At 42.2% G+C, this 24519-nt stretch overlaps 1 protein-coding gene across 2 annotated transcripts in view, besides 1 other annotated feature; it reads right to left on the bottom strand.

Annotated features, from left to right (window-relative positions):
• PIGN (phosphatidylinositol glycan anchor biosynthesis class N) overlaps window positions 1068-24519 on the bottom strand; it is a 169442-nt gene continuing 145990 nt past the window's right edge. For both annotated transcript variants that reach the window (XM_047437461.1, XM_047437431.1), the window contains one exon: window positions 1068-1194. In XM_047437461.1, the coding sequence (XP_047293417.1) occupies window positions 1083-1194 (112 nt within the window). In that variant the 3' untranslated portion in view covers window positions 1068-1082. The remainder of the gene's footprint in view (window positions 1195-24519) is intronic.
• Window positions 11449-11743: a silencer, noted in NCBI's record as "tiled region #1275; HepG2 Repressive non-DNase unmatched - State 21:Repr, and K562 Repressive non-DNase unmatched - State 24:Quies". NCBI's record gives its function as "represses a minimal TATA promoter and a strong SV40 promoter by Sharpr-MPRA in HepG2 and K562 cells {active_cell/tissue: HepG2 | K562}" and the evidence as "EXISTENCE:reporter gene assay evidence [ECO:0000049][PMID:27701403]".

A 24519-nucleotide genomic window follows, 5' to 3' on the forward strand; every position in this document is an offset into this window, starting at 1 on the left:
GTTGAGAAAGTTTGACTTTTTTAATTATTAGTTTCTTAATTGACAAATAAAAATTGTATATATTTATAGTGTACAACATGATGTTTTGCTGTATGTATACATTGTGAAATAACTAAATCGAGCCAATTAACATATCTATTACCTCACATACTTATCTCTTTGTGTGTGTGCTGAGAACATTTAAAATCTATTCTGAGCAACTTTCAAGTATACAATACATTGTTATTAACTATAATCCCATGTTGTACAATAGATCTGCAGAACAGATTCCTCCTAACTGAAGTTTTGTATCCTTCTACCAACTTCCCAGTCTCCTCTCCTCAACCCTGAACCTTGGTAACCACCATTCTACTCTCTGCTTCTGTGAGTTCCACATTTAAGATTCCACATATGAGTGAGATCATATAGTATTTGTCTTTCTGTGCTTGGCTTTTTCACTTAGCATAGTGTCCTCCAGTTTCATCCAGGCTGTCATAAATGATAACGATTTTTAAAATCAACTTTTTAATTAAGGTGAACTTGATTCACTGAATGAAAATTCTGCTGTGTTTCCTAAAATCCTGCAGATTTTAAAAATGTTTTCTTAATCCTCATAGATTTGAAAAAAATGTAGGAAACAGGAATATGTTATACACATAGAATTGTAGCTTCCTTAAGTGCTAAAATAATAAAGAAATTTTATTTTACAGTAATTGAAATTTAACTTTGAGGTGCCATAAGCCACTTTTATCCCAAATGGTTTTTCTTTAATAAACATTCTGCTTTTCTGCCAAGTTCAACTTTCCACTTAATGCAAGAATCCCTTTAAACACCCCTGAGTGATGTCTATCTAACCTTTGCTTAAATTCATTCTATGCTGGTGAGTTTATTACTTCTCCCATGGACACAGACAAATACTTATCTTATTTTCACACAAAAAGTAGTATCACTTAGGTTTGCATTATACTGCAAATAACAGAAGAAACAACTAAACATTACCTTAAATGAAACAGGAGTTCCATTCTTTTCATGTCAAAAAGGATTCCAGAGTTAGGTCATCCAAGGTTGGTTTGGCAGCTCCATGGTGCCAGGGGTAACTCACCCTATTTTGAGCTCTGTCCTCTTTCATCCGAGACCATGGCCTTCAGCTCCATTTTTGTGAGATGTTTCCTACACCTCCAGGCAGTGCTTCTGCAGTCAGGCCCAGTGAAGTGCCTGGTGAAGTGGAGAAAAAAAAAAAAGCATGACCTTTGAGATAGCTCCTTTATAAAGAGCTTTCCCAACAGCCCCACTCGGCAACTTCCTCTTACATCTTATCGGCCAGACTACTCCACTTGGCCACCCCTAGCTGCGAGGGTTGAAGTCAACATTTTATCGGGCATATTACCACCCTGAACAAAACTGAGGTTCCACTAGCAAAAGAGACAGGGACAATGAATTTGAGTTGGCAACGAACAGTGTGCACCACAAAAGCTTATTCTGTTTCCCCATATTCCCATATGCATTCCTTCCCACCTTGAGAGAAGAACAGTCAGAGGCTTTGGCGATAGCTAAAAGCTCAAAAGACCAATTCAGAACTGCATGGGAACTAACAGGCACAGGAGGTCAAGTGAAAACTAGAGGAATCATAGCAAACATACAGGGAAAGCAGGGCTGGCTCCGGCCTGCCCTGGGAAGGGAAGCTTCACAAAAGAATCTGTGAGGACTTCCAGCTGCTCTGGTAGAGCTGGGAGGCTGGGAATGGGCGAGATCAAGTTGAAGAATTAAATAGAAACAGCTGTTGGCTGCCTTCACCAGCACTGAGGCGAGGGCTCATGCACATTCAGTGGAACGATTCCGTTTGATCCGTACACATGTAAAAATCATTGCCTCCTTCACTTTCTAAGTGCTTGGAATTATTCTTTTCCTATTAAGATTTACATTCACTAGGGCAACACATGCTTAGCAGCCAGGACTTGCAGAAGCATCGAATGCAGTACAGATAGGCATACTGTGCTAACTTACCACCCATTACTTTAGGAGGTTCATTTTTTTGGTGGCCTGTTACATACCTTTACCTTGTGCTGGGCTCTGAGCTGAGCACATGGTTTGTTACATCATTTGTCCTCATGATAACCTTAACATTAGTTATTCCAGTTTTAAAGAGAAACCTGGGGCTCCAGAGGAAGCAGTACATTTTCCAAGGCCTCCCAGACTGTGGGTGGCAAGCCCGAGGTTCAATTACAGGTCTGATTCTGAAACCACATGCATGTAACAAAAGGCCTCTACTTGCTGCCTTGAAGCCAGAAAGGAGCTAACCTCACTTCCTCATCTACAGAAGAAAACACACGCACACACATACACACACACACACAGCCCAGAGGTGTCAAAGGACCTGCCCAAGGTTGGCAGTTAGAAAAAGCATTGGAGGCTGGGCACAGTGGCTCACACCTGTAATCTCAGTACTTTCGGAGGCCAGGGCTGGAGGATCATTTGAGGCCAGGAGTTTGAAACCAACATAGTGAGACCCTGGCTCTACTGAAAATTAAAAAACTTAGCCAGGTATGGTGGAACATGCCTGTAGTCCCAGACACTCAGGAGGCTGAGATGGGAGGATCCCTCAAGTCTAGGAGTTTCAGGCTGCAGTGAGCTATGATTGTACCACTGCACTCCAAACAAACAAAAAAAAGCAAAGCAAAAATTTAAACCCAGTCTCCCACGTCCCTTCATTCCACCTCTTTGATACAAACTTGTAGCCTTCATAACTGATACCTGTAGTATTTTGGGAGGGCTAAGTTCCACTATTTGCCAGAGATGGACATTATTTCCAAACTTTAATGTTTCTTCAAGACATTTCGTTAGTTACATTAGCATGTTTACTTCTTAGACTAACAAAACAAATAGCTTTAAAAAGTTCACTTTGTGAATCTGTGATTAACTTGTGAAGAGTTAGGGGAAATTACCTGGGACTAGCTCTAGACACATTTTAGTTTTGCTAGTTAGCTGAAAACCAGAAATAAGACAAAACTTCTTTAAATCCACCTTAATAACCCTTTTACCTAAAAATCTCAGAGGAACTAGTGGGGAGGCAAAAGGTGGACACTTCAGGAGACCAGGTGAGCCACTTCTCCATGGCTTTTCATTTCAATCATTATTTGTTCCTCAGGGAAGCCTTCCAATGAAATTTCCCAATATAGCACACTTAGGATTCTGCTTCTGGCCACAACAGATTAACTGATACTGGCCTAGCCCTCCCGCAGTAAGCAACAATAACACTGGACAAAATATATGAAATTACAGTTTTCAGACATTGGGTAAAAGGAGGCACAAGACTGTGGTCCCTGACAGTCCCTTCATAACCCTTTCTGACTTTAGGCACTTTCCAGACTGTGGCACAGGGAGGAAGCCCAGCATAGCACAGCGTTGCTGCTGAACTGAGGAGACAGAAATTGGAACTCTGGATTATGGAGACAGTCAGAATGTGCAGGGCACGGTCCCATTGGGAGAGTGCTTGCAGAGGAGGAGTTGCAGATATCTGCATAGGGGTGTCCTGGAGGCTGTGGCTAAATACCAAGCTACTCCTTTGTAGGACAAAAAAGACTCCATGCAACTGAGCAAAGAACACTAGGGAGCTGAGAGTTGAACTACCGGAGCCTGAACGGGTCTGGAGATGCTCAAGTACTGATCAGCCAGAGTGGAGAAATCCCCAGAAAGGCTGCTCTAGATCTACCTAACAGGGCTTTAAACCAACACTGGGAACTACCAAGATGATCTGTAAGGAAACGAACTGCCGGGCAGCACAAAATCCAACACTCTAGTACAGAACATAACAAATGTAGACATTCAACTCTGTAGCATTCATAATTTATAGCATACAATACATAACCTCTAGACATGTGAAGAAGCAGCAAGATACGATCTGGAACCAGGAGAAAAGTAGTCAACAGAAAGACCTTGAAATGACAGAGATGATGGGATTAGCAGATAAAGACTTTAAAACAGTTTTTTTTTTTTAATGGACTAAAGATTTGAATAGACTCTTCACCAAAGAACATTAATAGACATTCGCATATTAGCAAATTAGTAATTAGGAAAATACAAATTAAAACTACAATGAGATACTCCTACCTACCCATTAGAATGGTTAAAATTTTTAAAGACTGGCCGGGCGCGGTGGCTCATGCCTGTAATCCCAGCACTTTGGGAGGCCGAGGTGGGCAGATCACGAGGTCAGGAGATCCCAGACCATCCTGGCTAACATGGTGAAACCCCGTCTCTGCTAAAAATATTAAAAAAAAAAAAAAAATTAGCCGGGCGTGGTAGCAGGCGCCTGTAGTCCCAGCTACTCGGGAGACTGAGGCAGGAGAATGGCGTGAACCTGGCAGGCGGAGCTTGCAGTGAGCCGAGATCGCGCCATTGCACACTAGCCTGGGCGACTGAGCGAGACTCTGTCTCAAAAAAAAAAAAAAAAAAATTTAAAGACTGAGCATATCAAGGGCTGACAGGGATGTGGAGGAACTGGGACTCTCATATTCTTTCGGGGTGAATAAAAAATGGTACCACCACTTTGGAATATAGTTTGGAAATTTCTTTTTAAAAATAAACATACACCTACTAAATGATCCAGGCATTTCACACCTAGGTATTTACCCAAGAGAAAAGGAAATACATGTTCATACAAAGACTTATGCATGGATGTTTAAGCAGCTTTACTTATTAAAAACCGCCAAACAGAGAACAAACCAAATGCCCATTAACAGATGGATAGATACACAAATTGTTGTGTATGTCAAGCCAGGAGCTGTGTGTGAAAGGGCTTGAGATTTTATTCTGCTAGCAAGGCAACAAGGTATCTTGTCACAGTTTTATAGATACAGCCAGAAGACACAGGCTTTCTGGGTCAGAGACAAAAGACAGTTTATTACTCACAGCAATAGCAGTAGCCAGAGAAACATAATTGCATCATTTCTCTGAGCTGCAGTCCCACTGGGTGACATGAAAAGGGCCAAGTGTTGCTGCACATGCAGTGGGGTGCATTGTAGGAGAGGAAACCTTGAGATTCAGAAACCCTGACTTTGCACAGGGGCTGCTGGCAAACATGCTGCTACTCCTCTCTGGAGACAGGTGCCCCCACCAGGATTTCTGTGAAGAAAACTAAGTCAACGTTTTATTGGCTCTGGTTGTCAAGTGTACACCTTTCCTATTGCAGCATAACACATGATCACAGATTTAGCCATGTAAAACAACACCCGGTTATTATCTCACAGTTTCTATAGGTCAGAAGTTTGGGCATGGCAAGTGGGACTATTTGGGGTCTCACAAAGCTGAAATCAGGGTCTCGGCTGAGCTACATTCTTATCTGGAGCTTTAAGTTCTCTTCCAAGTTCATTTGAGGTGTTGGCAGATTTAGTTCCTGTGGCTACAGGATTGAGTCCCACTTTCTTGCTGGCTATTAGCCATTATTATTAGTAGTAGCTATTATTATTATTATTATTAAACTATTAGCTCTTAGTCCTTGAGGCTGCCGTCAGGCCCTGGCCATGTGGCCCTTCCACAACATAGCAGTTCACGTCTTCAAAGGCAGCAGAAGATCCCCCCTCCAGTCTGCTATGATGGCATCTTAGATAACATAGCCTAAGGGAGAGAGTATCCTATAATATTCACTGGTACTAACCCCACTCAAGGTGGGGGGATCATATACAGTCTTTACACTATGGGGCAAAAATATTGGGGGCCATCTTATGATTCTGCCTGTCAAGGAGAGGTAACTTGGAAGTCATAATTAAGCTTGAATATTTGCTTCACTGATTGGATTTGTTTTAACCTTAGTTAATAAACAGATAAGGATTCAAACTGAAAGCATTAATTTTCACTATACCCTCACAGACAATACTAGTAAAAGCCATTTTTGTCAAGCCACACCTATAATTAAAGAAACTGGACAATAAGGTTAAGCCCTGAATTGCTAGAGAATTTTCTGCTAAGCTGGTCTAGAAATTCTAGGCAATCCTCCATTGCATGGTAGTGCAGGACTATAAAAATGACTGCAAGCTGAAACTGTATTAAACACTCTTAATAGTCAAGGGGAAAAATTATGGTTGCTCTGTGACCTTTAAAATTTCTTGTAAGAATATTAAAATCTCTCTTACTGTTGGTTTTAAGTGTATAGGAAAATGAAAAAATAATGAAACTAGTATTTATTTAGTACCTTGCATTTCATTAGTAACAGCTTTATTGATATATAATTCACATACCATAAAACCCAAAGTACATAATTCATTACTTGTTAGTACAGTCATCCCTTGGTATCTGTGGGGAATTTGTTTCAAGACCCTCTGTGGATACCAGAATCTGCAGGTGCTCAAGTCCTTGATATAAAATGACATAGTCTTTGCAAATAACCTATGCATATCCTCCCATATATTTTAAATAATTTCTAAATTACTTATAATGACTTATACAATGTAAGTGCTATGTAAATAGATGTTCTACTGTATTGTTCAGGGAATAATGACAAGAAAAGTTGTCTGTGCATGTTTGGAAAAGATGCAATTTTTTTTTTCTGAATATTTTTGATCCGCTATTGGTTGAATCCACAGATGTGGAACCTACGGATATGAAGGATTGAGTGTATAGTCACAGAGTTGTGCAACCATCACCATGATGGAATTTCAAAACATTTTCATCACCCCTAAAAGAAATCCCATACCCATTAGCAGTCACTCCTTATTCCCCACTTCCAAAGCCCCAGGCAACAATTCATCTACTTTCTGTCTCTGTGGATCTGCCAATTCAGGATATTTTATAAAATCATACAATCTATGTGGTCTTTTGTGATTGCTTCTTTCACTTAGCATAATGTTTTCAAGGTCACCCATGTGGTAGCATGTACCAGCACTTCAGTCCTTTTTATCAGTGAATACAATTCCATTGTATGGGTATACCACATTTTGCTCATCCATTCAATGGACATTTGGGTCACAATCACTTTCCTCATTTCTGTCAATAAATTCACCTTCAGCACGTTTTTGTGGCTGCTTATCTGAAGCCTCTCAATGGTGGCTGTATCAACAGTTCCACCATGAACTATTTCTTCTGTAACTCAATTTACATTTGATTCAAGTTTCACTTACAGCATCACCACTTTTGGGCTTTTTTGCTGCAATTTCATCTTCGTTGGTCAGTTCCCTCTTTTGATTATCCATTGTGATGAAATGTCACATGGGAGACAAGAAGGCAACACAACTGCACACTTTGCTGTCTGTGCATGAACTGAGTAACAGATACACAGTGACCAGTCACTGATAGACTGAAAGTTGTATGATTGGTCACTGATCATGATGTGCATCTCTTATTTGCATAGTGATTTGTGGACTGAAGAGCTAGCAGTGAATTGTGTACTTTATGCAGTTACTTAGAGCTAATATACCATGGTAATTTGAATGTGCTGTTGAGGGAAGGTGTTATTTAACTAAAGCATAGCGGCTGAAATTCATGCATATCAGAACTGTGGGAAGTAAGGATGCCCTATTTTCTACTGGAATACAGAGGGCAGCTAAAAGTAGGTTTTGTCTAAGAAATTAGGATACAAAGAGTTTGGCATCTAGGTAACTAGAAACCACTTGAATAGGCTGATGCATGTTAATTAATTCCTTTATTTTGGATATACATTGGATTTTTGAAACCCTACGAACAAGTAAATCAAAAGCATTTAAGTCCACCATTGAAATACTTATGAAGGTGGCAGAGAAAGATTGAGGTTAAACAAAGAAGTCAAGTTCTCTCACAAAGAAGAAAACATCTCAGTTTCCATAGCTGCTGGGAGACATTGGAAAGAGACACGGTGCACAGTCAAGCTCCTCCCCCAGCCCCTTCCCTGTTCTCATGAGGGCTTCACCGATTTCCTCTAGCAGTAGAAACTCCAGACCACATCTCACTTGGCTGCTCTGGGATATCTGATATCATTTATACAATCTTCTAGAAATTCTCTCCCCCTTAACCCTGGTTCTCCTCTTTTTCCTCCTCTCTATAGTCCTTCTCAGTCCTTTTCACAATTTTCTTTTGCTCTATAACTCCAACCTTAGCCCCACATTTTGGTACTTGTCAGGGCCCCCCTTGTTTCTTTCTACCTTTATATGCATCCCTTAGAAGAACTCACTAGCTCCTGTGGCTCAACTATCACTTGTCTTCAAATATTACTGACTGGGTACAGTGGCTCACGTCTGTAATCCAAGCACTTTAGGAGGCAGAAGTGGGAGGATCACTTGAACCCAGGAGTTCAAGACCAACCTGGGCAACATAGCAACACCTGGTTTCTCTATAAAACAAAACAAAATAAAAACAAATACTGATTATGATCATATATGTGCTCCACCCTGGTGAAGAGTTGGAAATGTCACCATGAATAAGACATTGTCCTTATTCTCAAAGAGGCCATTGAAACATGAAGAAGGAAACCTCAACCACTCTTATGGGTACAAGTAGGAGAAACCCTAGCAGAGGAAGAAACATTGATCTGTGTCTATAATGGATGAATAAGAGAAAGATTGGGAATGGATAATAAAATTGCACAAGATTTCTAGGCAAAAATGTTATATCTCTATTGAAGGCTATAAAAATAGGCCTGAATAAATGGAGACACATCATGTTCATCATGTTCAAACTTGTCAATTCTTTTACTCATATATGTATTTGCTACACCTGTATGGTATTTGATACCATAAAAATGGTATCATGCTGTACATAGCCAGTTCAACTTGGTTTGTTTTCAGTCAACATTAGGTTTTTGTGTTCTAAATGAAAAGCCAGTATATTTGTTAGTTCTTCACTGAGACAGTTATTTTGTTTCCTCTTGTTTTTTGGTCTTTTTTTCCCCACTTAGAGATAATAGGTGTTTCAGGCACAATTAAGGGTATATGTAAAGACCAGAAGTGAGAGAGGATACAACTGCATGTGGTTGGATAAGCTTAGCAAACATAATGAGAGAGGCAAATAGCAAGAGATGAAGCTGGAAGCACAGCCAGGGACTATTTCACAAAAGACGTTACATGCCATGCTTAGCACTCCCATATGTGTCTGTTCAGCACAGAGCTTGTTTCTAAGTCTTGCTTATGCAAACCTCCATTGGACATTCCCTCCAGGTTGCATCTGGACACCTCACACTGACCATGTCTAGAATAAAATTTATTATCATGCCCTAAATGTCTTCTCCTCCCGGGTTTCCTACCTAAGCCAAAGTACCCATATTCACTCAGTGTCTAAGCAGGAATATCCACCACCTGTGACTTCTCCATCCCCCTCAGCCCCTACATCCAGTCAATTCAACAAGCCTCCAGAAAGTTTCATATATGCCTCCTGCCACTGCCCCTGTCTTAATTCAAGTTCCATTCGTCTTTTACTTAGATTGTTGCTACCCATGCGTCTGGTCCTAAATTCCTCCAAGTTAATAATAACTGTCACAACAAGACCTACATCCAGTATCAGAGCTGTGAAATCTACCCAATCCCTGCACCTTGTCGGAAGTTATTGGTGTCCCTCCTGAGCCTCCATAGCACCCGGGACACATTTATTTGTAATATCACTCACATTGTGATAGCTCAGTTATTCCTTTATAAATCCCGTTCATTCATTGCAGTATGAGTGGCACCCATAAGAACTCAGTAATTTATCTCTGTTAAAGGAAAAACAAAAAGGATTACATAGAATGCTTAGGCGCTAAGGAAGCATTCTAGCTTCTTGAAATGTGAATTTTGATGTTTAAACAAAAAGATACAGTTAATGCTATTATGTCCATTTTCAACAGATAATCTGAAAGTTGGCAGAAAAAAAAAAGAACGGAGCAACCAATTTGAACAAGACTCAGCATTATAAATTCTAAAGAGTGACATACATTTAAGCAATCTTAGCCCACCTTGAATTTCAAGAACAGGTGAAAATTTCATTCTGTATTTGATTACCACCAATTCCACAGCCCCAAGAACCAACTGATGACAAATTATACTGATACTGGCACAAGAACAAAGATAAATAGCAGCCTACAGGCCTCTCTGAAAAAACCAAACCTTTCAAGTTGGAGAGTAATCTACTTAAAAACTGTCTGGGGTAACAATTTTATAAAGTTTGATATCTGTTATTACTTCAAAATGTACCCAGTGTACTTTCTTCACACGGAGAACCCCAACAGCCTTCCTGACTCTGCCTCTGCTACTGCCACTCTTGTCAAAAGACATTCCAGAATGAATTTGTCTTGGGAACTTGACAGACATATCAGAAGTTCCCAGGGAAGTAGGAAGGAGGCAACACCTTAGTCATCACAGAACAATGTGGAGCCATGACTACTGCAAATGTGCAAATCAGTGTGGCCTGAGAAGGATGTTTCCTTTGAGGGACAAGCTTTTAAAGGAGGCTGACGGGGGGCCAAGGCGCGGTGGCTCACGCCTGTAATTCCAGCACTTTAAGAGGCCGAGGCAGGTGGATCACCTGAGGTCAGGAGTTCGAGACCAGCCTGGCCAACATGGTGAAACCCCCTCTCTACTAAAAATACAAAAATTAGCTGGGTGTGGTGGCAGGCACCTGTAACCCCAGCTACTCAGGAGGCAGAGGCAGGAGAATCACTTGAATCCGGGAGGCAGAGGTTGCAGTGAGCCCAGATCATGCCACTGCACTCCAGCCTGGTGACAGAGTGAGACTCCATTTCAAATTAATAAATAAATAAAGGAGGCCGAGAGGAGAAGATCCCTTGAGCCCAGGAGTTCAAGACCAACCTGGGCAACATAGTTTGAACCCCAAATATCTGAGACAGGTCTCAGTTAACTTAGAAAGTTTATTTTGTCAAGGTTGAGGACACGTGCCCATGACACAGCCTCAGGAGGTCCTGACGACATGTGCCCAAGGTGGTCAAAACACAGTTTGGTTTTATACATTTTAGGGAGACATGAGACACCAATCAAGATATGTAAGATGAACATTGGTTCAGTCCAGAAAGGCGGGACAACGCGAAGCAAAAGCGGGACAACTCAAAGCAGGGAGTGGGCTTCCAGGTTGTAGGTAGATAACAGACACGGTTGCATTCTTTTGAGTTTCTGACGAACCTCTCCAAAGGAGGCAACCAGATATGCATTTATCTCAGTGAGCAGAGGGGTGACTTTGAATAGAATGGGAGACAGGTTTGCCCTGAACAGGTCCTAGTTTGACATTTAGCTTAGCAATTTTGGGTCGCCAAGATTTATTTTCCTTTCACAATAGTGAGAACTTTAGCTGGGTGTGGTGGCACACACTTGTTATCCCAGCTACTAGGAAGGCTGAGGTGGGAGGATTGCTTGAGCCTGGGAGGTCAAGGCAGCAGTGAGCCGTGATCACGCCACTGCACTTCAGCCTGAGTGATAGAATGAGACCCTGTCTCAATAAAAAAAGAAAAAAAGAAAGAAAGAAAAGAAAAGAAAAAGAAAAAGGCAATAAGGTGATCAATCCTTATTTCTATGTAAATGTGCCTTTTCCCTATCAGCATACAGTGCATTCCAATATCACCACTTACACTGTGCTCCCCTGTGGCAAGGCTGCTGCAAGCACTGGGTTCCACAATACATGGAATACCCTGCCGAATGGAGGGCAAATCCACTTCCAGCTCTTTCCCCTAGCTTCTCGTGACAATGACAGCGGAGATGATAAGAACAGCTGACAGTTTTCAGGTGCTTCACGCCTTTATATACCTGAGCCTCCTGGGAAAGTGTCTCTGCCAGTTGTGACAACAAAAATCTGCAACAGCACTGATAGAGTAGAGCAATTCAGCTGACTTTATTCTCCTGAGCCATCCAGCTGTTTACACTTCCAAGGTGTCAGCACCTCCGAAAGAATGAATCAAACCCTCTTGGCGTAGGCTTTGGTCATTTAGACCATCTGCTCTAAAAAGAAATAGAAGAAATTTAAACAAGAAGCCTTTAAAAATATTTTAGTTGAAAGAAATGCCATTATTTGGTATGGCAGTAGCTGGCAAGAATCATCTTCTCAACAAAGCTTCAGACATTTTCTGCTTAAAATTTTTAGAAGCAAGTTTCTACTCCTTCTTGTCTCCATTATGATTCTAATTACTTAAATTGAAAAGCATTGTGCTGTAAAAAATTAACAGTTCTGAGCAAGATGCCATTGTGAAATGATCTACATTTTCACGTAGATCCAAGTCGCAGGAGTTTTCTCGAATAAGAGATGGCATTGTTCCTTTGATAGCAGCATCCCAGTTCTGTTTTCTTAGCTTCTTAGAATATGGAGCTAACAAGGATAAGGTTTTGGGTTTGCTTCCCAAGTAAGGAAATTATCATCAGAGGAAGAAAGGGCAACAGTTTTCACTGATAGCAACACTGCTAGAATTCCCAAAAAGCAATTCAACATGCTTGTCCTTTGCAGCAGTAGATCAGCGCTGTCAACTCTCCATATGAAAAACAGCACAGATGTTGTGCAGCTATTATGTAAAATGGTCCCCAGAGTCAAAGGCCATGGAGAGTTCTAGCACAAAACAGACAGGGACAAGCCACTGGACTGCGGACATGGAGGCCAGTGGTGCCTGGTGAGAGTCACTTCCATGTGCCTTCCATCTCTTTGTCTTCCTCCCATGGAATCCTGTGCAGCCATACAGTTTTGAAGGGACAGGAAAGAGTGGGAGGAAGATGCTTTGGATGAAGAAGAAGGACTGTTCCATCTTTTGATAACTTTAAACCACTTTTCGTTTTTCTCTGTCCTTTGGATAAACTGATCCAGAGAACCATTTGGATCTTCCCCCTCTCTCTTCTTTTTTCTCATATTCCCACCAGCCTTTCTCACCACCTGCAAAGCCTGAGAAGCACCTGATTGTAAGGTCATTATAACGGTCTCTAACCATTTCGGTTTCCCTAATCCAACCTCACAGCTGAGTCACAAGGGCTCAGGTAGGTAAAGATAGAAAGGGGATGGAAGGATGGTTGGGTAGATGGGTGCATGAAAGGACATTAAACTTCTTTTCTTTCTTGAAGATATATTTGCATTGTCAACAGCCAGTTAAACTGGCTTAATCTGAAAATTTAATGAGGAAGGGAAGAGGGTATTTAGTACCGGTGACTGCTATGCTCCAGGATATATTCAGGAGTAAAGCCAGAACTTCCAATGGCCACTCAGAAAAGCAACGACATAAGTGGGGAGGCGGAGGGGAGAAGGGAGACTAGGAATAGGAACAGAGAGAGCAGAACAGAACTCTTAGCAGGAGAAGATACTGGCCTTTCATTAAACTTCATCTAATTCCTCGGCAGGAGTGACATGCATCTGCAGCTCACATTAAAGCATTCATTGCATTGGGTCAAACTCATAAAACCAGATCCAGGACTCATCAACTTTGTTCCCGTATTAGTAGCATCCTGAAGGAGCAGGTCTACCAGATAAACTAAGAGGTCCCTTGAGTGAGCCTCTCGCCACACAAGCTCTCAAATGCAGAGAAGATCCAGGGGATGGATTGCAGAGAAGACCCAGGGGATGGATAACAGGTCCTCCTCTCATTATTCTCCGGTCTCAGACTCCAGTGAGTTTGGTCAGCCTCCGAGGCCCTGGAAGCATTTAGAACAGCAGCTCCAGCCATCAGACTGACATGAGATAAGATCTTATAAGCCAGAATGTCGGTTAGCATTACATAAGACTCAGGGGCTTAACAAGTGAAATGCCACTAGAAGGCTTCACTCTGAGATGCAGAGAATGTTCTTGTGATGGTGTCAGGCCCTGTTGCAGAGGCCTGTGGTGGTATGTCTAACTTACGCCAAATCTGGATCAGGACTCAGAGGACTTGCACACAGAGATCCTGGGGGGACATTCTCTTCTACATCCTGGATCAGGTCATGGATGTCACAGAATTACTGAGAATGAGGCACTTCTCAAGTAAGCCCCTGAGGGCAACAGTTAAAAGGACAACCGGGTTTATCATAAACTTTCAACTTCCTGGTTTCAATTGGATCCAGACACATAAATACCAGAAATATCAAAGGGAAAAGGAAAGTCACAGAGCTCTATACATGTCCAGAAAAATATGGCAGGAATGTTCCAGAAAAGCCAAACCATTAGCAATCTTGACATTAAAGAGTAGTGAACTCCACCTTTAGGTTTATGTGCTGATATTTTTATCTTCACATTGTGCTGATATTTTTATATTCACATTTCATGTTGAACTCTGATACTCAAACTTGTGGCCCAGTAAATTGCTTGTGCTATTATCTGCACTTTCAAAATGAGGAAAAAAAGATCATGATCTTCTCACCACTGTGTGGCACTGCATGTGCCTTTGGGGATTTCTAAGTACTAACTTATATATGACTCTTGCCGGGTACAGTGTCATGCACCTACTCAAGTGCTGAGGTGGGAGGATGGCTTGAGGATGGTCCCAGCTACTCGAGGCTGAGGTGGGAGGATGGCTTGAGCCCAGGAGTTTGAGTACAGCCTGGGGAACACAGTGAGACCCTGTCTCTAAATTAAATTAAATATATAACTCTTAAAAAGTGTACACATATTGGTATGGTTTTGCTGTGTCTTCACCCAAATCTCACCTTGAATTATAATAATCCCCACATGTCAAGGGCAAGGCCAGGTGGAGATAATTGAATCATGGGAGTGGTTTCCCCCATACAGTTCTCATGGTAATGAATAAGTCTCACAAGTTCTGATGGTTTTATAAATGGCAGTTTCCCTGCACAAGCTCTCTTGCCTGCTGCCATGTAAGACATGACTGCTCCTCATTCGCCTTCCACCATGATTGTGAGGCCTCCCCAGCCATGTGGAACTGTGAGCTCTTTCCTTTATAAATTACCCAGTCTTGGGTATGTCTTTATTAGCAGCATGAGAACAGACTAATACACATATGTTAGGCATATCTCATAAACCAAGACTGAGGAAACATCATGGAACAAATTTGTCTGAAACTATTTATGGGAACCCTTGGAATAAAAAGTAGGGATGAACCTTCTGAGTCCACTGAAATGGATTTCAGTAGATGGAAATTTCTTTGAAGGGAAATGAAAAGTTGAGTGATGCTCTGCCCCAAGGAAGAAGCACAGTATTCCTAAAATCTACACTATCCCCAGATGCAGCCAAGGGGTCAGGGACCATCCTCCCCAAACATGCAGGCACAGCCCGGATTTTGCCTCAAAAATGAATATTCAAAAGAAACAGGGCAAATGATTTCTTTGGGACCATTTTTTTTCTTTTCTGTTTTCATGTTTCTGTAGCTAACCTCTTATGGTAAGGATTTGAGTGATATGTGTCAAAGTACTAAACAATCAGAGAAGTGAAAAATTTACCTCCCCAAGTGTACTCATTTCCTGTGGCTGCCATAGCAAATTATCACAAACAGAGTGGCTTGACCAATGGAAATTTATTTTTTCACAGTTCCAAAGTCCTATATCCAGGTACCAGTAGAGTGCTGCTCCCTCTTAAGGCTCTCGGGGTGGATCCTTCCTTGCCTCTTCCAGCTTCTGGTGACTCCAGGTGTTCCTTGGCTTGTGGCTGCATCACTCTCAGCCTCCAGCTTCACATGGCCTAATCCTTCTTGTGACTTCTCTTCTGTTCCTTTTAAGGACTTTTGCCATTGGGTTTAGGGACCACCTGGATAATCCAGGATGAGCTCATCTTAGCATCCTTCATTGTATCTGCAGCGACTCCTTTTTTCCTAATAAGGTCACATTCACAGATGCTGGGGGCTAGGATGTGGAGAGATCTTTTGGGGCACCCATAATTCACACCACTATACTAAGTATACTGTGAACTTCCATGTCTTTGCAAACTTCAATTGCTTAAAAATAGACAACCAATATTTACTTCCATCCTTTAATGCTGATTAAAAGAAAACTGAGGAAAGCTCTTCATCCTTCTGCTTCACATGCCATCTGGAACGCAGCTGGCATATGCTTCAAAGGTGAATGTCAAGAATCTGGTGCAAGTGTGCCCCAAGCCAACTGCACACACGTAGTCAACTTCAGGAGCATGTTTTCCTAAGTATACTGTTCATACTTGATTATCTATATGCAATGGAAAAAGTCTAGTTTCCACACCACCTGGTTAGCTGCAGTGATTGCATTTTCAGAAACAAAAATCTACAGATGCTCTTATGCTGATGACAAGACAAAATGTTTGGGAAAACTATGCATTTAAAATTTTTTTTAAAAGTCTCATTGTTTACTAGCTGTGAGATCTTGGGCAAGTTATTTATAATTATCCAGTGTTTCAGTTTTCCCATCTGTAAAATAGTATAATAATACCTACCTCACAGGGTTCTTATAAGAATTAAAGAGGTTAGTATTTGTAAAGCATTTAAAACAGCGTCTGGCACATTGTAAGGACTACACAAGAGTTCATGAAAATTTTGTTAAAAGCCACAGTGAGAAATCACACTAAATGCTGAAGAGATACAAACACATTCAATGTATGCATATCAATTAAAGGTTTTGGTCACAAGTAACAGAGATGCAGACAAAAGTTTTTAGGATACAAATGGCTTGTAGAGTAACTAGGCAGGCTTAACAAATGGTTGGGGACCAAGGGAAGCTGGGCCACAGAGGACGCAGCCAAGGGGACCTGCAAGGAACATCATTGCAGTTTCCTTGGATGCCATAGCTAGTGTCTGCCCCAGCTGGGCTGCTAAGAACCACTATATGGGGCCACCTTCAGCTTCTATAGTGGGAGGCAGAGCACTGCATCCCCCCAAGACCCCTTTAATAGAAATCCACGCAAATAAGAAGGTAGAACGCTGACAATCAAAATAACACCTCCACAGTATGGCTTGTCTACATAAAATCACTGGATTTGTAAAGTTGGATTGAGAGGAAAGCATACCGATAAGAGGCTGCCTCATACTGAACTGTATGAAATAAAAAAACTGCACCACTTCCTGGCTGTTTGACTTGGGTGAGTTAACCTGAATCTTAGTTTCCTTTGATAAACGTGACTGATAGTAGATTATATCTGTTACTTCTTCTAAAGTGTTTAGTTCAGTGCCTTACACATGCTGATGGTTCATTAAGCACGAATGCCTACAAACATGTGATCAATGGAATTAAATCTTTTACTTCTGAATATAAATTGAGTTCTGTATTTCATTGTAGAACTATGCTTATTTGAACTCTTCCCTCAAGCCCCTTCTCAATTGCTGGCCTTCTTGGCACATCAGTTTTCCTGAGCTTTCTCTCTCGGAGTCTCTGAGTACTTGTTGCACGTATTGCTCGTAAGGCAAATATCACATGCTGCCTTTATTCACCAGCTGTATCATCTATACCCATACTTTAAGTATGCAGTGCACTAAGAAGCTAATGTTCTTATTCAGAGGTGAAGCCTGTAAACAAATTTAATACAATTTAATGTTTCAATCTAATCTAAGTCATAAGTGCATTGAGACCAATAAACATGTCATGGGGCAGGCAGTATTATCACAGTATTACAGATGAATCAGTTGAGACTCAGAGGGGTTTGTCTAAGGTCACACAACTAATAAGAAGCAGAGCCCAGATGGGTCTGTGTGATTCTAGAGTGCATAAATTCTGCCTCCTAAACTGCATTATCAGTTTCTTGAGGGCAAGAATTAGGTTGAATATGCCTTTGTGTTTCCCTTATAACCTGGTAAAGTCTTGAAAGAGGCAGGGCTCTAGCTTTGAGGACCAATAGATAAAATAGCAAACATTTTAAAACCATACAACCCATTGGTGAATGGCTAGAAAGCCAATGTGTTCCTTGTTTTGTTCTGTTTTCTGAATCTAATAAGTGAGACGTGGTCTCACTATGTTGCCCAGGCTGTCCTTGAACTCCTGGACTTAAGCAATCCTCTTGCCTCAGCCTCCTGTGTTGGAGCTCCCACACAGAGTCTCCACTGGTGTACTGCCTAGTGGAGCTGTAAGAGGCCACTGTCCTCCAGACCCCAGAATGGTAGATCCACCAACAGCTTGCACCGTGCACCTGAAAAAGCCACAGACACTCAATGCCAGCCCATGAAAGCAGACAGGACTGGGGCTGTACCCTGCAAAACCACAGGGGTGGAGCTGCCCAAGGCCGTGGGAGCCTAACTCTTGCATCAGTGTGACCTGGATGTGAGACATGGAGTCAAAGGAGATTATTTTGAAGCTTTAAGATTTAATTGCTGCCTTCTTGGATTCTGGACTTGCATGGGGCCTGTAGCTCCTTCGTTTTGGCCAACTTCTCCCATTTGAAACAGGTGTATTTACCCAATATCTGTACCCCTACTGTATTTAGGAAGTAATTTTGATTTTACAGGCTCATGTAAAGGAAGGGGACTTGCCTTGTCTCAGATGAGACTTTGGACTGTGGACTTCTGAGTTAATACTGAAATGAATTAAGACTTTGGGGGACTGTTGGGATGGCATGATTGGTTTTGAAATGTGAGGACATAAGATTTGGGAGGGGCCGGGGGAGAATGCTATGGTTTGGCTCTGTGTCCCCACCCAAACCACCTTGAATTGTAATAATCCCCACTTGTCATGGGAGGGACCTTGTGGGAGGTAATTAAACCATGGGGGTGGGTTTCTCCTGTGCTGTTCTCATGATAGTGAATAAATCTCATGAGATCTGATGGTTTTATAAAGGGGAGCTCCCCTGCACATGCTTTTTTTGCCTGCCACCATGTGAGACATGACTTTGCTCCTCATTCACCTTCCACCATGATTGTGAGGCCTCCCCAGCCATGTGGAACTGTAAGTCCATTAAATCTCTCTCCTTTTGTAAATTACCCAGTCTTGGGTATGTCTTTATTAGCAGAATGAGAACGAACTGATACAAAAATGCACCCCAAAGAAAAGCAATGGCAAATTAATCTACTGATTTTTGTATAGTTATATGTAAAGTTCAACTAAGACCTTGAACCAATGCCTTGATTATGGCCATCTCTGAACAAAACATTGTAACTCAATATCATAATGTTTAAATTCCCGCAGCTGTGGAGTTCCCCTGGGAAACCAGACAGTTCAATCTTGTTTTTTCAGAAGGCCTTATTTAAGAAACCTAACTTATTACTTTTTTATCTTTTTTTTATTGTACTTTAAGTTCTAGGGTACATGTGCACAACCTGCAGGTTTGTTACATATGTATACATGTGCCATGTTGGTGTGCTGCACCCATTAACTCATCATTTACATTAGGTATATCTCCTAATGCTATCCCTCCCCCTTCCCCCCACCCCACAACAGGCCCCGGTGTGTGATGTTCCCCATCCTGTGTCCAAGTGTTCTCATTGTTCGATTCCCACCTATGAGTGAGAACATGCGGTGTTTGAAAACCTATTTTTAACAAGTACTTATATTTCTAATTTCATCAAGTATGTCAGGAACATAATCAGATTTAGAGTGCTTAACCAAAAAAGGCTTTACTTTTCTCATGTATCCAGAAGCTGGAGGTGAGCTTTTCTAGGGTGGTATGGTGAGCAGCTAAGGGATTCTACCATGGACTCAGTCATCATCCATCTTCCAGCTAAGCCTTCCTTTCCAGGTAGTTTCATTTTCAAATGCATTATTCCTAGGTTGCAAAACTGCTCCACCTCCAGCAGCATGCCTACATTTCAGATACAGGAGGAAAAGGCAACAGGCAGGAAGGAACATCAGCTCCACTGAGGTTTCCAGAAGCTCTACCCAGAGACTTCTGTGTGTACATAATTGGCAAGAGCTGCACTGCATTGGCATGCATCATTGCAAGGGAAGATGAGTTTTTTTTCTTTTTTTTTCTTTTTAATTGTTGTTGTTGTTTTTTAAATCCCAGTATACTTTTTTTTTTAAAGATTTTTTTAGAGATGTGGTCTCACTATGTTGCCCAGGCTGTCCTTGAACTCCTGGGCTTAAGCAATCCTCTTGCCTCAGCCTCCTGAGTAGCTGGGACTATAGGTGTATGCCACCCTGCCTGGCTCTGGGCATATTTCTGACAAACAAATCAAGGTTCTGATGGTAAAAAAGGAGAGTGGATACTGGGTAGGTAACTAGCAATGCTTGCCACAAGTAAAACACATGTGAACCGTGGATTATGTTGTTTTTCCTCTGGATATTTTAGTACTTGAATTTCTTACATAACAAATTGTTTATGGAGCAAGGAAACTATGGAGAGATCCTAAACTAGGGGCTACAAAGCTGTCCACAGGGCTGGTTTCATTCCACTGGTTCTCAATGGCCATATTATGCCCTTCTTTTTTGTCAACTGCTAGTTAGGACATTGCATTTCAGGAGGAGCATATTACTGCCATAGGCCCTGAAAGAATCCTTATCTTAGCAGATGCTAACTGGTATGTTAACCTGCCATCATGTCTGGCCACTCAGCATTCAACTGCCCATAACTTTCATTGCTGGTCTTCCTTGACCTGGGACACGTGAGGGATTTGAGGTCAACCAGCTGGTGCAGAGGAAGCACTCAGTAAATATGATCTGCCAGTTTCATTATTATTACCTCCTCAATTACAACACAAGCTCTTCAAGGGCAGGACTGATGTCTTATACTTTGTATCCCCACTCTGCTTGACTAGGAGAGGATATTGAATTATCTGCTGATTAATGCAATGTCTTACTTTAACTCATGCCACTGACCTGCACATTAAGGCTACTGCTGTCATCATCTATGTAATTCCACTCATGTGACCTAAGCAAAGGATAAATGTATTTTGTTTCCAAGTGTTATCGTCTGTGTGGACTATTTTTCTGGCATCCCCAAGGAAGCAGTTGTATACCCCTAAGGGAGTCTGGTGATTAAAAGTTTTCGCTTTAGACTTAGACTGAAATTAGCTCTGAGTTGACTAGCAAATCAACTTGCCAAAGGGAGGACTCTGGAACATTCATTTAGTCTCTTGGAACTTCAGTTTTCTTATCTGGAAAATAAGGCTGATATCTACCTTGGTTGGTGTTGTATGGGCCATGGCCGGGCCTGTCCACATGAAAGCCCCTCAGTGGGCATGGGTGGAACAGCCCAGGGCCCCATCGTGCAGACAAAGCAGGGACGTAAAGGCCTAGTGAAGCTGGCCCTCCTGAGCAGCACAACCACTGCCTCTTACGGTGATGTAAGTTGTTTGGGAATGCTGCCATGGCTGTGAGCACTGAGGGCAGCGGGTCCATGCTCTGTGTTCCTCTGCTCTACTGGGCAAATCGTTCTCCTCGGGCTTCTAAGAGCCCTAATCTTTGGTGGAGGCACGGTGAGCTGGAGAGACCTTTGAGGGGAGGGCAAAACCACCTATATATTTTTCTCTCGTTACTATCTTTCCAGTGTTTGTTGCTTTTGCTGAAGAAAAACCAAACTTGAGTAGAGCCTAAGACATCCTTCTTGACAGCCTGGAACCCAGACCAGGCTCGCTGAGGTCTGGCCTAGCACTAGTGGTTGCAATAACTCAATTATGTGAGATCATGAGTGTAAAGCCCCTGGCACAGGGCTTGGCATATGGCAGGCTCTCCATTGGGATTATTTGTGCTATTGTTTCTCCAGTAGCACCTATGAGAAAATTTGTATTTTGTTTTGGAGGAATGAACATGTAAGAGTTCTTTGCAGTTCCTGGAGATTGAGGCTATGCAAAGCTAAGATTTTTAATTCCTGTTTTTACTACATAATACCAAAACAGGGCACTTGAACATTTTGTAGTATTAGGCATGAAAGCAGCACTGTGAATCGGAGGGATAAAGTCTGAATCAGTTTTCATGGAACCATTCTGCCCCCTAAATTCCAACTTAGCAGAAGATAAAAACCAGGAACAAAAATAAACATTTTAAGTGGAGCTTCGGATTTCTCGTAATCCACCGTGTTCTTAGAGAGATCAGTGAATTCAATCCCCCTCCGTGTTTTTTTTTTTTTTTTTTTTGAAAAGATTACTTACTGGGAGGTTACTAGAATATTTCACTTAATTGAACTTGGCCAAAAACAGCTCTGAAACTTCACATGTTAGAAACTTTCTCTCAGTTGCAGCTTGAAAATCTTGCAAAGAACTTAGACTGGTCTTGTGTGGGTTGGATGTGCACCCCTAAACTAGTCAAATGTGGTGAGAAGGGTCATAAAAAATTTTTGGCTCCTGCCAGAAACAGAAGGTTAGCAATGCAGGCACAGTTATCTCAAGAGGAAATGCTGAGCAAAGGCACAGCTGACCACTACACACTCATGTGAGATTTATGTGGAACATAATAATTGGCTGGGCACAGTGGCTCGTGCCTCTGATCCCAATACTTTGGGAGACCAAGGGGCAGATTGCATGAGCCCAGGAATTCAAGACCATCCTGGGCAGCATGGCAGGACCCTGTCTCTACAAAAACAAAATATTTAAAAATTAGCCCGTGGTTCCAGCTATTCAGGAGGCTGAGGTAAGAGGGCTGTTTGAACCCAGGAAGTCAAGGAAGCAGTGAGCCATCATTGTACCACTGCACTACAGCTTGCACGACACAGTGAGACCCTGTCTCAAAATAATAATAATAATAATAATAATAATAATAATAATAATAATAGCTACAATAATTGATTGAAAGTAATTCAGGAAGAAAAATGTTATACACATTGGGCTCTAACATGGCTCAGAGAGGAGTTACAGGAGTGAAAGAGCAGAGAGAGAACTAGGGAGAAATAACGAAAACAGAAAAAAACCAGTGAACCACCCCTTCAATCCTCTGCTTCTCTGTTATTACACTTCTAATGCATTTATGTAAAATTATGTGTATAGAGTAAAAATTTTAAAAACATAAAATTACAATTTTAAATAATCTTGTTATTTTACAATAGTTTTATAGAAAATTTGCAAAATTAATACAGAGGGTTCCAACACACTCCCTCACCCAGTTTCTCTTATTATTAATACCTAATGATTACTAATTACTAAAAACTACTAAGGCACAGTTTTCACATTTAATGAACAAATATTGACATTTTATTAACTACATTCCATACTTTATTCAGATTTCCTTAGTTTTTACCTGATGTCCTTTTCTGTTTCAGGGCCCCATCCAGGATGCCGCACCCCATGTTTAGGGCCCCATCCAGGGTGCCGCATCTCATGTTTAGGGCCCCATCCAGGGTGCCGCACCCCATGTTTAGGGTCCATCCAGGGTGCCGCACCCCATGTTTAGGGTCCATCCAGGGTGCCGCACCCCATGTTTAGGGCCCCATCCAGAGTGCCGCACCCCATGATTAGGGCCCATTCAGGGTGCCGCACCCCATGTTTAGGGCCCATCCAGGGTGCCGCACCCCATGTTTAGGGCCCCATCCAGGGTGCCGCACATCATGTTTAGGGCCCCATCCAGGGTGCCGCACCCCATGTTTAGGGCCCATCCAGAGTGCCGCACCCCATGTTTAGGGCCCCATCGACGATGCCGCACCCCATGTTTAGGGCCCCTTCCAGGGTGCCGCACCCCATGTTTAGGGCCCAGCCAGGGTGCCGCAACTCATGTTTAGGGCCCCTTCCAGGGTGCCGCACCCCATGTTTAGGGCCCCATCCAGGGTGCCGCACATCATGTTTAGGGCCCCATCCAGGGTGCCGCACCCCATGTTTAGGGCCCCATCCAGGGTGCCGCACCCCATGTTTAGGGCCCCATCCAGAGTGCCGCACCCCATGTTTAGGGCCCCATCGACGATGCCGCACCCCATGTTTAGGGCCCCTTCCAGGGTGCCGCACCCCATGTTTAGGGCCCAGCCAGGGTGCCGCAACTCATGTTTAGGGCCCCTTCCAGGGTGCCGCACCCCATGTTTAGGGCCCCATCCAGGGTGCCGCACATCATGTTTAGGGCCCCATCCAGGGTGCCGCACCCCATGTTTAGGGCCCCATCCAGGGTGCCGCACCGCATGTTTAGGGCCCATCCAGGGTGCCGCACCCCATGCAGTGGTCATGTCTCTACAGGCTTCTCTTGGCTTTGACAGTTTCTCAGCCTTTTCTCGTTTTTGATGACCTTGGTAGTTTTGAAAAGTACTCACTGGGTATTTTGCCAAATGTTCCTATATTGATATTTGTCTGTTTTTCTCATGATTAGACTGGGTTTATGAGCACTGGGGAGGAAGTCCGTGTAGCTAAAGTGCCATTCTCATCATGTATCCAGGGTACATACTGTCAGCTTATCACTGTTGATGTTCACATAGATCACCTGGCTATGCTATGAGCAGTTTTTAATAAAATAAAACCAATCACAATAGCATGAGAGATAGGACATGATAAGCAAACATGTATCAGGCAAATCAGGATTTAATTGTATGGTTTCTAACTTTAAGAATATTACTTCTCATCAGCAAGGAGAGGAGCTTTTAAAATGTTGACAGACGATTTCTAGAATTTCAAGTAATACAGGGATATTCGAGGTAACAGTTTATGTCTGTAAGATTGACAATTACCTGTGTTGGTCCCTTCGTTAATCACATTAGTCAAATTCACTGAACATTATCTGCTTAAAGTAAAAACAACTTTAAAAAATTCATGGAATCACTGATGTTTGATGCAATTGGTATTTGATACCAGTCAAGCTAATTAAATTCTTCTGTAAAAAGAATTTATCTTTTCATGAGTTTACCCAAGAGTAATAATAATTTTAGATTTTAGCCCTTTGAGGCCAATTAAAGGAAATTTTGATA

This window comes from Homo sapiens, chromosome 18 (assembly GCF_000001405.40).
Source record: "Homo sapiens chromosome 18, GRCh38.p14 Primary Assembly".
Taxonomy (NCBI): Eukaryota; Metazoa; Chordata; class Mammalia; order Primates; family Hominidae; genus Homo; species Homo sapiens.